The sequence below is a fragment of the Homo sapiens genome, chromosome 14, assembly GCF_000001405.40.
Source record: "Homo sapiens chromosome 14, GRCh38.p14 Primary Assembly".
Classification (NCBI taxonomy): Eukaryota; Metazoa; Chordata; class Mammalia; order Primates; family Hominidae; genus Homo; species Homo sapiens.
The window spans coordinates 99,949,355-99,961,637 of NC_000014.9; the positions used below are offsets into that span (position 1 = coordinate 99,949,355).

General features: G+C 47.7%; 1 annotated feature.

Annotated features, from left to right (window-relative positions):
* Window positions 1,186-1,687: an enhancer, noted in NCBI's record as "H3K4me1 hESC enhancer chr14:100416877-100417378 (GRCh37/hg19 assembly coordinates)". NCBI's record gives its function as "activates a minimal SCP1, AML or CMV promoter by ChIP-STARR-seq in naive H9 embryonic stem cells {active_cell/tissue: H9 hESC(naive)}" and the evidence as "EXISTENCE:reporter gene assay evidence [ECO:0000049][PMID:30033119]".

A 12,283-nucleotide genomic window follows, 5' to 3' on the forward strand; every position in this document is an offset into this window, starting at 1 on the left:
CCCCGTGATCCAGCCACCTCCCGTCAGGCCCCACCCCCGTGATCCAGCCACCTCCCGTCAGGCCCCACCCCCGTGATCCAACCACCTCCCGTCAGGCCCCACCCCCGTGATCCAGCCACCTCCCGTCAGGCCCCACCTCCAACACTGGGGATTCCCATTCAACATGAGACTTAGCAGGAGCACATAGCCAGTGTATCAGAGGGTTAGAGAGACTGAGGTACTTGCCCCAGGTCACTCAGTAAGTTGGTAACAGAGCTAAGGGTGGAACTCCCAGTTCTCACAGCTACATTCTGTGCTGGCGTTCTCAGCCTGGTGTCTTCAGAGCATTATTAGAGTGGGTGCTGCTAGAGTTTCAAATAATTTGAGACTGTGCTGCACACTGCACATGACAGAGAGAGATGTGAGCGCCAGTTGCCTCTGAAAGGCATAGGAAGGTTATACATTTGGGCATTTCCCCATCTCGAGCATCAGACACCTTTGCTCCTAAGGCATTAGTGATTGGCCCAGGGATCAATGTTCCACACATCCATCTTGGGAAATGCTGTGGGAGAAGGTTAATCATACAGAGGTGGCCCGGCATGGTGGCTCATGCCTGGAATCCCAGCACTTTGGGAGGCGGAGGCAGGCGGATCACCTGAGGTCAGGAGTTCGAGAGCAGCCTGGCCAACATGGTGAAACCCCATCTCTACTAAAAATACAAAAATTAGCCGAGCGTGGTGGCGGGTGCCTGTAATCCCAGATACTTGGGAGGTTGAGGCAGGTGAATCGCTTGAACCCGGGAGGCGGACGTTGCAGGGAGCCCAGACTGCATCACTGCACTCCAGGCTGGGTGACAGAGTGAGACTCCATCCCTGCCCCGCACCCCCCAACCCCCGCAAAAAAAGAATGTGGTTATAACATTTCAGCTTATAACATTGGGACGATTCCTCCCTCCTTACCAGGACCGAACTAGGAAATGGCCAGACTTCCTGTCATGGTAAGACTGATGTCACATGCTCAGTGACATTTCTGAGATTCTTTTGGCCAAATGGGCTTCAGAATCACTTAGGTTCTCCCAGGCCCTCAGACTGTGGCGACTGAAAATAGAATGGACTGTGATCACCACCACACTGCCCAGCTGCCCCTTGACGCCCATGGGGTTCCTCTGCACGGGGTTCCCCTGTTTTCATGTGGCTTATTTTACTCTGATTCACACAGAGGAGGCAGGTTTAGAAACACAGCATCCGTTTGTCTGCATTTAAAACAATCCTTGGGAGAAGCAGGCAGCAGCCCTGTAGTCCTGGCCACAGTGGCAGCTGAGGTAGCCCCTCCTCACCTTCAATCACTGCTCCTCCATTTGAAAGCATTCTCAGAAACTGATGCTACAGGAAAGGCCTCTACCTTGTTCTGGCAAGTTCCCTCCTGCACTTCTTTCCCAGGCTGAGGCAGCTCCAGGGCTCAGACGTCAGCCAGAAGTAGGGGAGGGAGAGGACTCAGCCAGACATAGGGATCTGGGGTCCAGAGGGCAGCCGCACAGCCACCACGCTCGTCTGCCATGCTCGTGATACCTGCCCACCCCATAGCAGAGATGTTTCTGTTAACCACTTATAGAATGGTGGGGCTGCAGTGACGCTCAGGGGTCGTCTTGGGGGAGCATCTCCCAAAGTATGTTCTGTGAAACCCAATTCCAAAGCATGTTAATAGCCCCTGTGTTGGGGAGGCACTGAGCTAGACGCATTAATATGCCCTGTGAGTCGAGAAGGGCTATTGTGTTCATCTATTCACCCAACAAACACCACCCCTACCCTGAGGCAGCACATCCTAGGGGCCGGGGATACCAGAGTTCTTGCTCTCATGGAACTGTGAATGGAGAAAGCAATGAAGAGGCTGAGGAGACTGTTCCCGCTGGAGATGGGCGGGGAGGGGCCGGTAGTCACAAGGGCTACTTAAGCCCAGGCACGCAGAGGAGGTGGCTTTTGAGCAGAGAGTGTGGTGACAGAATAAGGGCCTGAGACTTGCAGCCAGCTGGGGACACCCCTGGCTGAAGATACCAGGGCATGGTGTGAGAGTGCCAGGTCCCCGAGGCTGTCTAACTGCACAGCTTCTCCTTCCTGGGACATCACTGCTAGGCCAGAGACTCAGCACACCTCGGGGGAAAGGCTCTTTTGCCCACTCCCTCTTTTTAAAGGCAGAATCAAAGCCCTTTGGAGAACAGGGATTTACCCAAGGTTGCTGTGACCTTAGCTCGGGCAGCCCCCAGCTGCCCACCTTTGCTTCTTTTTAGAAAATGAAGGTTAATGTGCTTTAAATCATAAAACTCATCCAGACTCATTATAGCAAATTCAGAAAGAAGCCCAGCCATATCACTACCACCCTGAAATAGCACTATTACTTCTGAGCACATTTCCTTCCTGTATTTCTTTTTCGAGTAGTTTTGGATGTGTTTCCATAGTTAACATATTGCATATACAATGCTTTCTATTGCTTTTTTCATGTAGCTTTATAGGCATTTTCCCATGTCATTATAACTTTGTTATAAATAACTCCTATCAGCTGCATAACATGATGCCATAATCTATATCACTGCTCCTTGACAGTCTTCTCATATTGAAGATTGTGATGGTGATGATGATGGTGGTGGTGGTGGTGCTGATGATGGCAGTGATGGTAATGGTGATAATGTTGATGCCAATGATGTGGTGATGCTGGTGATCATGGTGGTGATAATGGTGGAGATGGTTACGGCGTGATAGTGATGATGATGGTTGTGATGTTTCATGGTGGTGGTGATGGTGGTGATGCTGCTGCTAGTGGTGATGGTGATGATGAAGGTGATGGTGATGTTGATGATCATGGTGATGATGATGATGGTGATTGTGGTGGTGACGATGATTGTGATGCTGAGGTGATGGTGATGGTGGTGATGCTGATGATGGTGGTGATGATGATGATTGTGATGCTGAGGTGATGATGGTGATAGTGATGGTGATGATGATGAGGATGATTGTGATGCTGACATGATGGTGATGGTGGTGATAGTGATGGTGATGATGATGATGATTGTGATGCTGAGGTGATGGTGATGGTGATGGCGGTGTTAGTGGTGGTGATAGTGGTGGTGATGCTGAGGTGATGGTGATGGTGATGGTGGTGATGCTGATGATTGTGGTGATGATGGTGGTGATGCTGATGGTGGTGATGATGGTAATGATGATGGTGGTGATACTGTTGTGAACTCCCAAAGTTTGAAACAGGTTTCAGTTAATTTAGAAAGTTTATTTTGCCAAGGTTCAGGACACACCCGTGACACAGCCTCAGGAAGTCCTGACAACATGTGCCAAGGTGGTCAGGGCACAGCTTGGTTTTATACATTTTAGGGAGACATGAGACGTCAATGAATATATGTAAGAATTACATTAGTTCCATGCAAAAAGGCAGAGACAACTAAAAGCAACCCCCCCACCCCTTCCCTTCCAGGTCACAGGTAGGTGAGAGACAGATGGTTGCATTCTTTTGAGTTTCTGATAAGTCTTTCCAAAGGAGGCAATCAGAATATGCATGTATCTCTGTGAGCAGAGGGATGACTTTGAATAGAATGAGAGGCAGATTTGTCCTGAGCGGTTCCCAGCTTGAAGGGGCCCAAGATATTTTCCTTTCACACTGGTGATCATGGTGGTGATGGTGGTGATGGTGGTGATGGTGATGGTGGTGGTAATGATGGTGATAATGATGATAATAAAAAATACTAAAGGCCACCCTTACTGAATGCCATTTCTCCACAGTGTACTTGTGCTTTATATGCTCCTTCCATCAACATTTAGACAGGCTCAAATATTTCCTGTTAGAAAAAAACCTTCCTGGTCCATCCCTTTGCCACAGAGCTCTCTCGGGGCCCTCTTCTCTTCTCCCTCCACCTTCTCCCCAGGTTATCTCATCAGCTCCCTGGGGCCAGCCGCCTCTTCAACCCTTACAAGGTCCCAATCACTATCTTTGACTCAGCCTGTCTCCTAGCTTCAAACCTCTGTGTTCAACATCCTGCAGGATGTCTCCATCTGCTCATTCACTGGAGCCTCCATCTCTACATGCTCAAACCCAATTCATCCACTTCTCCCCCAAAAACCCGCATGCCATCCTCCCAGTGGCCCATGCCAGGCATGTGGGTGTTCCTCTTGCCTGTATCAGCAAGCAGCCAATAAGTGACAACCTCGATAGCATCACTCAGCGAGCTCTTACCCACCCCTTGCCAGGTACTGTTGGAGGTGCCTTATGCATGACGGCTCCTTCAACACTCTCAACAGCCCTGTGAGAGGGTCACACAGTGAAACAATTGGGATTTTAACCCATGTAGTCAGGTTTCCAAGATCACACTCAACCACAGCACCATTCTGCCTCTTCCAGAATCGAGGGCTCTGCTCCATGAGGAGCCAGGGCACGTGTCCACGTCATCTCTCCACGGATGCTGCCTATGCCCTGGAGGGCCACCATCACTGCTGGCCTGGCTGCAGCCATGTTGACCTTCCTCCAGGCAGTCTGAGTGACCTTTCCAAACCATAAATCTGACCATATCACTCTCCTGCTTAAAAATTCTTAGGAAAAAGCTCCTTCATGTTACACACAGGACCGGTCAGTGAGCTCTGGTTCCTCTCCAGCACCATCTCTCAGCTCCTGCCACAGAGCTTTTCTCTGTCCAACCACCACGGCAGCCTCTCGTTGCCACCTGGTCTTTGCTCATGCTCTGTGCCCCCAACCCTCTTCCTCTCATCATTCTGGCCAACCACCATAACTTTCAGAACTCAGCTCAAAAGTCACTTCCAGCAGGGCACAGTGGCTCACACCTGTAATCCCAGCACTCTAGGAGGGCAGGGCCAGTGGATCATCTGAGGTCAGGAGTTCGAGACCAACCTGACCAACATGGTGACACCCCGTCTCTACTAAAAATACAAAAATTAGCCGGGCATGGTGGCAGGCACCTGTAGTCCCAGCTACTCAGGAGGCCGAGGCAGGAGAATCCCTTGAACCCAGGAGGCGGAGGTGGCAGTGCGCCAAGATTGCACCACTGCACTCCAGTGTGGGCGACAGAGCAAGACTCCGTCTCAAAAAAAAATAAAAAGTCACTTATTCCGAGAAGGCTTCCCTGAGTGCCAAGGCTGGTTCTTGTCCCTCCTCTGTGTCCCCACCTCTGTTGTACTTCCCTTCTCATGCTGAATTGTGGGTGTAGGTTTATGTGCCTCCAGCCTTTCTGCCAATCAGCACCCTAAGGTGGAAGCACTCTGCATCTCGGGCACTCTTCTTTCCCATCACCTAGCACAGTGCCTGGTGCCCACATGTTATCAGAAGTGTTTGGTGAATACATGAAGGAGTGGACTGTGAGCCTCTGAACTTGCAGTACCCTTTGCCCTTCACACTTCACCCTGAGCATCTTTTCTTGCTTTGGGTGTTTTGCTATGGCAGAGGAGACTGCAGTGAGCAGCTGTCCACTGAGCTTTTCTTTTAGTTAAATTTATTTCTTTGAGGCAAATGCCCAGAAGTGGAATTACTGAGTTAGCAGGCAAGATCATCTTTATGTCTTCTGATATGTTTTGCAAAAATGAATTCCAAAATTATGGTAGCAATTTGGTAGATTTTTTTCTTTTTTAGCAACCTAATCCTCTCTCCCTTTTTAAGTGTCTTCCTGGCGGAAGCCACACAAAGCTATTTTTACCTAAAGGCTGTAAACCTCATCATTCTCCAAGGAGAAAGTCGGGCATGTGTGAGGAAGCTATCTACCCACCTCACAGGCTCATCAGCCCTATGCTCTTGCCAAGCTCTAGGTCATTTTGGAAAAGCAAGTTGAAATTATATTCCAAATTAGGCAGTGGTTTTGCGAAAGAAGGAACACACACACACACACACACACACACACACACACACACACACACGTCACACACATATTCATCTCCATTTCGGGGCTAAATTATGAACATCTTTATCACTCAAAGAAACCAGAAAGTTATCAAAGCAAAACCAGTGAACTTTGCCAGGTGAATGTTACGAAGTTTGGACGTGGAAGTAGCTCGGAAGTTGGGGGATCACCTGGTTTTCACACTTTGTTTCAACAGTGTGATGGTTAATTTCATGTGTCAACTTGACTAGGCTAAGGGATGCCCAGAGAGCTGGTCAAACCTTCTTTCTGGTGGTGTTTGCGAGTGTCTCCAGAAGAGAATCAGTAGACTAAGGAAGCTTGATCTCACCAATGCGGGGGTAGGGTGGGGGGGCTGGGGGGTCATCATCCAACTTGTTGAGAACCTGAACAGAACAAAAAGGTAGAGGAAGGGCGAACTTTCTCTCTCTGTTTGACATCTACTAGGACATCAATCTTCTCCTGCCCCAGAACGTTGAAGCTCCTGGTTCTCAGGCCTTTGGACCTGGACTGGGATTCCCACCACCAGCTCCCCTTGTTCTTAGGCCTTCAAATGTGAACTGGAACCACACCACCCGCTTTCCTGGGCCACCAGTTTGCAGATGGCTGATCATGGGACATCTCAGCCTCCATAATCGCATAAGCCAATCCCCCATAATAAATCTCTTTCTATTTGTCTATACACTATACATCCTATTGGCTCTGTTTCTCTGAAGAACCCTGACTAATACCAGCAGCAAAACCTTTTTTCAGATGAAATCATACAAGAAAATCCACTCTGTAATAAGGTTAAGAATGGGGCTGCTCTGGCAGAAGCAGTCAGAGGTGGTGGTGACTCAGAAGCACTCTCACCCTATCTTGTTCCTTCCTCCTCCCTAACACCCCCTGCCCTGGCCACCTCCACCTGCCCCACGGGGCTCCAGAGTCTGCCATCTTGGAGCGGCCTCTGGAGGAAACAGAGGCTCAGGGAGAGGAAGGACCTGCCCAAATCCCCACAGTGAAGGGTGGCAGAGCGGGGTCTACCTGCCGGGCTCCTGGCTCAGTCTTGGGATGGTTCTCAACTATTGTCTTGACAGGAGCCTGCTCAGTTATTCACAGTTACAATGCACATCTTTTCAAGGACGGCCCGAGGTGGCTGGTTTCCCCCAGTGGTTAACCACCCAGGTGCCCCCAGGTATAGTTTGGTTTTAAAATTCTTCCAATTTAAGTTCCCCTATTACCAACATTTCTACTTACTTGATTTTTAAGAAAATCACCCATTGCATGTAGAACAGGTGGACATTTATTGAAATGCAACTGCAATAACATCCCCTGGAAATTAACTTCCTCTCATTTGCCCCTGTGAGTCTGTCTCATTTCTCATTCCTTCTGTTCTGTGCTTTTTTTTCTCTTTTATTTCTTGCACATTGTGAGTTTTCAATTTTTTTTTGAAGAAGCATATTTTAATTTTATTTTTCAGTATTTCAGTTATCTAATTCACTATTTTCAGCTTTTATCTTTATTCATTTCCTCCTCATAATTTCTTTTTATTTATTTTGCTGGGTTTTTTTGTTCTGTTTTGTGTGTTTGTTTGTTTTTTGAGATACAGTGTCATTCTGTCTCCCAGGCTGGAGTGCAGAGGCAGGATCTCGGCTCACTGCAACCTCCGCCTCCCATGCTCCAGCAGTTCTCCTGCCTCAGCCTCCCGAATAGCTGGGATTACAGGCACCCACCACCACACCCGGCTAATTTTTGTATTTTTAGTAGAGACGGGGTGTCACCATGTTAGCCAGGCTGGTTTTGAACTCTTGACCTCAAATGATCCGCCCACCTCAGCCTCCCAAAGTGCTGGGATTACAGGCATGAGCCACTGCGCCCGGCCTATTTTGTTGTGTTTTAAGTTGAATATTTAATTCACTTATATATGTATTGCTTGTTTTGCTTTTTTATTTTTATTTTATTTTGAGACGGAGTCTTGCTCTGTCACCCAGGCTGGAGTACAGTGGCACTATCTCAGCTCACTGCAACCTCCACCTCCTGAGTTCAAGCGATTCTCCTGCCTCAGCCTCCCAAGTAGTTGGTATTACAGGCGCCTGCCACCACGCCTGGCTAATTTTTGTATTTTTAGTAGAGATAGGGTTTCACCATGTTGGCCAGGCTGGTCTCGAACTCCTGACCTCAGGTGATCCGCCCTCCTCTGCCTCCCAAAGTGCTAAGATTCCAGATGTGAGCCACCACGTCCAGCCTTGGTTTTTTTTTTGTTTTTTTTTTTTTTTGAGACAGGGTTTCACTCCCATCACCTAGGCTGGAGTGCAATGGCGCAATCTCAGCTCACTACAACCTCCGCCTCCTGGGCTCTAGCGATTCGCCTGCCTCAGCCTCCTCAGTAGCTGGGATTACAAGCATGTGCCACCACGCCCAGCTAATTTTTGTATTTTTAGTAGAGATGGGGTTTCGCCATCTTGGCCAGGCTGGTCTTGAATTCCTGACGTCAAATGATCCACCTGCCTCAGCCTCCCTAAGCACTGAGATTACAGGCGTGAGCCAGCACGCCTGGTCCATTTATATACATTCTTTGTTGTATAATAATAAAAGCATTTAAGGTATCACTGTATCCCATAAGTGTTGCTCTGAAGTTTTCTCCTTTTCATTAATTTCTTTTTAATTTGTAGTTTTAACATTGATTTCTTTCTTTTTTTTTTTTTTATTTAAATTGAGACCAGGTCTCATTCTGTCATCCAGGCTGGAGTGCAGTGGCGTGATCACAGCTCACTGCAGCCTTGACCTCCCAAGGCTCAGGGAATCCTCCCACCTCAGCCTCCCGAGTAGCTGAGACTACAGGTGCGCACCACCACGCCCAGTTAATTTTTGTATTTCTTGTAGAGACAGGGTTTTGCCATGTTGCCCAGGCTGGTCTCAAACTCCTGGGCTCAAGTGATCATCCTGCCTCAGCCTCCCAAAGTGCTGGGATTATAGGCGTAAGCCACCACGCCTGGCCGATTTCTTCTTTAAGCTAAAACTTACCTATAATAGAAGAGTATTTTATACTTCTAATGTTTTATTATGTTTTTATGGTTATCTGGGGTTTTTTTTTTTTTGCACTCCAGTGAAATTTCTGAACTCTAAGGATAACATTCTGTATATAAGTAATCTGTTTGTTCTGCCAGAAGCTGATATCAGATTACTTATGTACAGAATGTTCCCCTTACATCCACCCCAATATGCCCAAACCTAATGCCTGTGAATATGTAGGTTACATGGCAAAGGGGAATTAAGGTTTCAGGTAGAATGAAGGTTGCTAATCGGATGACCTTAAAATAGGGTGATTATCATGGATCATTACACTGGCAGCCACTGGGGCCAATGTCATCACAAGGGTCCCTAACAGTGGAAGACAGAGGCACAGGAGGTCAGAGGGAGACACGACTGCCGACAAAAGGTCAGCGATGCCATGTGAGAGAGACTTAACCCCCGCGGCTGGCTTTGAAGAGGGCCCCATTCTAAGGGGCCACGAGCCCAAGAATATGGGCAGCCTCTGAGAGAAGGTGGAAGAGGCAAATAAACTCACCCAGAGCCTCCAGAAGAATGCAGCCCTACTGGCACCTTGGCTTTAGCCCAGAGAGACTTTTGAGCTCTGGAACCGTAAGATAATAAAAATGTGTGTTGTTTGAAGCCACTCTGCTGTTGGTAACTTATGTTAGCAATAGGAAACTGATATGATATGTGAAAAAGGGACTCCAACTGGTTACCAGGTTTCTTTCTTTCTCTTTCTTCCTTTCTTTCTTGACAGAGTCTCGCTCTGTCGCCCAGGCTGGAGTGCAGTGGCGCAATCTCGGCTCACTGCAAACTCCACCTCCCGGGTTCACGCCATTCTCCTGCCTCAGCCTCCCGAGTAGCTGGGACTACAGCCACCCACCACCATGCCTGGCTAATTTTTTGTATTTTTAGTAGAGACGGGGTTTCACCGTGTTAGTCAGGATGGTCTCGATCTCCTGACATTGTGATCCGCCCTCCTCGGCCTCCCAAAGTGCTGGGATTACAGGCGTGAGCCACCACGCCTGCCCTTCCTTCCTTCCTTCCTTCCTTCCTTCCTTCCTTCCTTCCTTTCTTTCTTCCTTTCTTTCTTTTTTTCTTTCTTTCTCTCTTTCTTTCTCTTTCTTTCTTTCCTTCTTTCTTCTTTCTTTCTTTTCTTTTTTTTTTAAGACAGGGTTTCGCTCTGTTGCCCAAGCTGGAGTGCAGTGGCTCAATCTTGGCTCACTGCAGCTTCGACCTCCTGGACTCAAGCAATCCTCCTACCTTAGCCTCCCAAGTAGCTGGGACTACAGGCACCTGCCATCATGCCCAGCTGATTTTTGTATTTTTTTGTAGAGACAGCATCTAGCCATGTTGCCCAGGCTGCTCTCAAACTCCTGGGCTCAAGTGATTCCCCTGCCTCAGCCTCCAAAAGTGTTGGGATGATAGGCATGAGCCACTGTGCCCAGCCGACTACCAGATTTCTTATCTGCATTTGAAACTAGAAGTTTCTAGACCTGAGAAAAGGGGACTGCTAGCCTAAAATCTCCTGGCTAAGATATCATTCACGTGGGAGGGCAAAATGAGGGCATTTCTACCAGAAGTGGTTCAGGTGTGTGTCTTTCTAAACTAATCCTCTCTGATACCTCCTGAGCTGTTTTTTTTTTTAAAATAGCTTTATTGAGATATAATTTACAGGCCATAAAATTCCCCCACTTAAGGTGTGCCATTCAATGCTTTTAGTACCTTCACAGAGTTGTGCAGCCATCACCACTATCTAATTTTAGAACATTTTCCCCACCCACACCCCCTTGGCAGTGTATTCATTTGCTCGGGCTGCCATAACAAAATGCCGCAGACTGTGGTTAAACACCAGAAATCGATTTGCTCACAGTTCTGGAGGCTAGATGTCCAAGATCAAGGTGTCAGCAGGGTTGATCTCTTTTTCTGAGACAGGATCTCACTCTGTCACCCAGGCTGGAGTGCAGTGGTGCAATCTTGGCTCGGTTCACTGCCACCTCTGCCTCCTGGGCTCAATCAGTCCTCCCATCTAAGCCTCCCTGGTAGCTGGGACCATAGGCGTGTGCTACCACACTCAGCTAATGTTTGTATTTTTTGTGGAGATGCAGTTTTGCCATGTTCCAGGCTGGTCTCGAACTCCTGAGCTCAAACGATCCACCCACTTCAGGTTCCCAAAGTGCTGCGATTACAGGCGTGAGCCACTGTGCCCAGACAGTTGGCTTCTTCTGAAGCCTCTCTCCCCACCTTTCAGATGGCTGTCTCCTGGCACCCTTACGGGGTCCTTTCCTCTGTCTTGCTGTTTCTCTGTGTGTCTGAATCTTCTCTTCTTGTAAGGACAACCATCAGATTTGGATTACGGCACCCTAATCGGCCTCATTTTAACTTAAGTATCTCTTTTTTAAAACTCCTCCTGAATCTCCCTAGAAATATATTTTGAGGTACTATGGGGTACCTCAAAGGAGCTTCAACGTATGAATTTGGGGGAAGAAAATTCAGTCCATAAGAGGCAATTATTCCCCATTCCCCCGCTAGCTCCCAACCCAGACCCAAGCAACCGCAAATCACTTTCCATCTCAATGGATTTGATTTGCCTATTCTTGACATTTTATATAAATGGATGAGACAATATATGGTCTTTTGTGACCGTCTTCTTTCACTTAACAATGTTTTCAAGGTTCATTAATATTGCAGCCTGTATCGGTACTTTCTTCCTTTTTACTGCCAAATAATATTCCATCGTATGAATATACCAGTTTTGTTTATCCATTCATCTGTTGAGGGACATCTGATTTGTTTCCACTTTTTGACTACTATTAAAAATGCTTCTATGAATATTTGTGTACAAGCTTTTGTGTGGACTTGCTAGGTCATACTGTAACTTTATGTTGAAACTTTTTTTTTTTGAGACGGAGTCTCGCTCTGTCGCCCAGGCTGGAGTGCAGTGGCGCAACCTCGGCTCACTGCAAGCTCCACTTCCCAGGTCCACGCCATTCTCCTGCTTCAGCCTCCCAAGTAGCTAGGACTACAGGCACCCGCCACCACATCCAGATAATTTTTTGTATTTTTAGTAGAGACGGGGTTTCACCGTGTTAGCCAGGATGGTCTCGATCTCCTGACCTCGTGATCCACCCGCCTTGGCCTCCCAAAGTGCTGGGATTACAGGCTTGAGCCACCACGCCCGGCCCCTATGTTGAACCTTTTGAAGAACTGCCAATCTGTTTTTCTATGTGGCTGAACCACTTTACAATTTTACCAGAATGTATGAGGGGTTCCAATTTCTCTATAACCTCACTTGTTATTTTCTTTAAAAAAAAAAAAATTATAGCCATCCTAGTGGGTGTGAAGTTGTATCCCAATGTAGTTTTGATTTGTACTTTCCTAATATCTGATGAT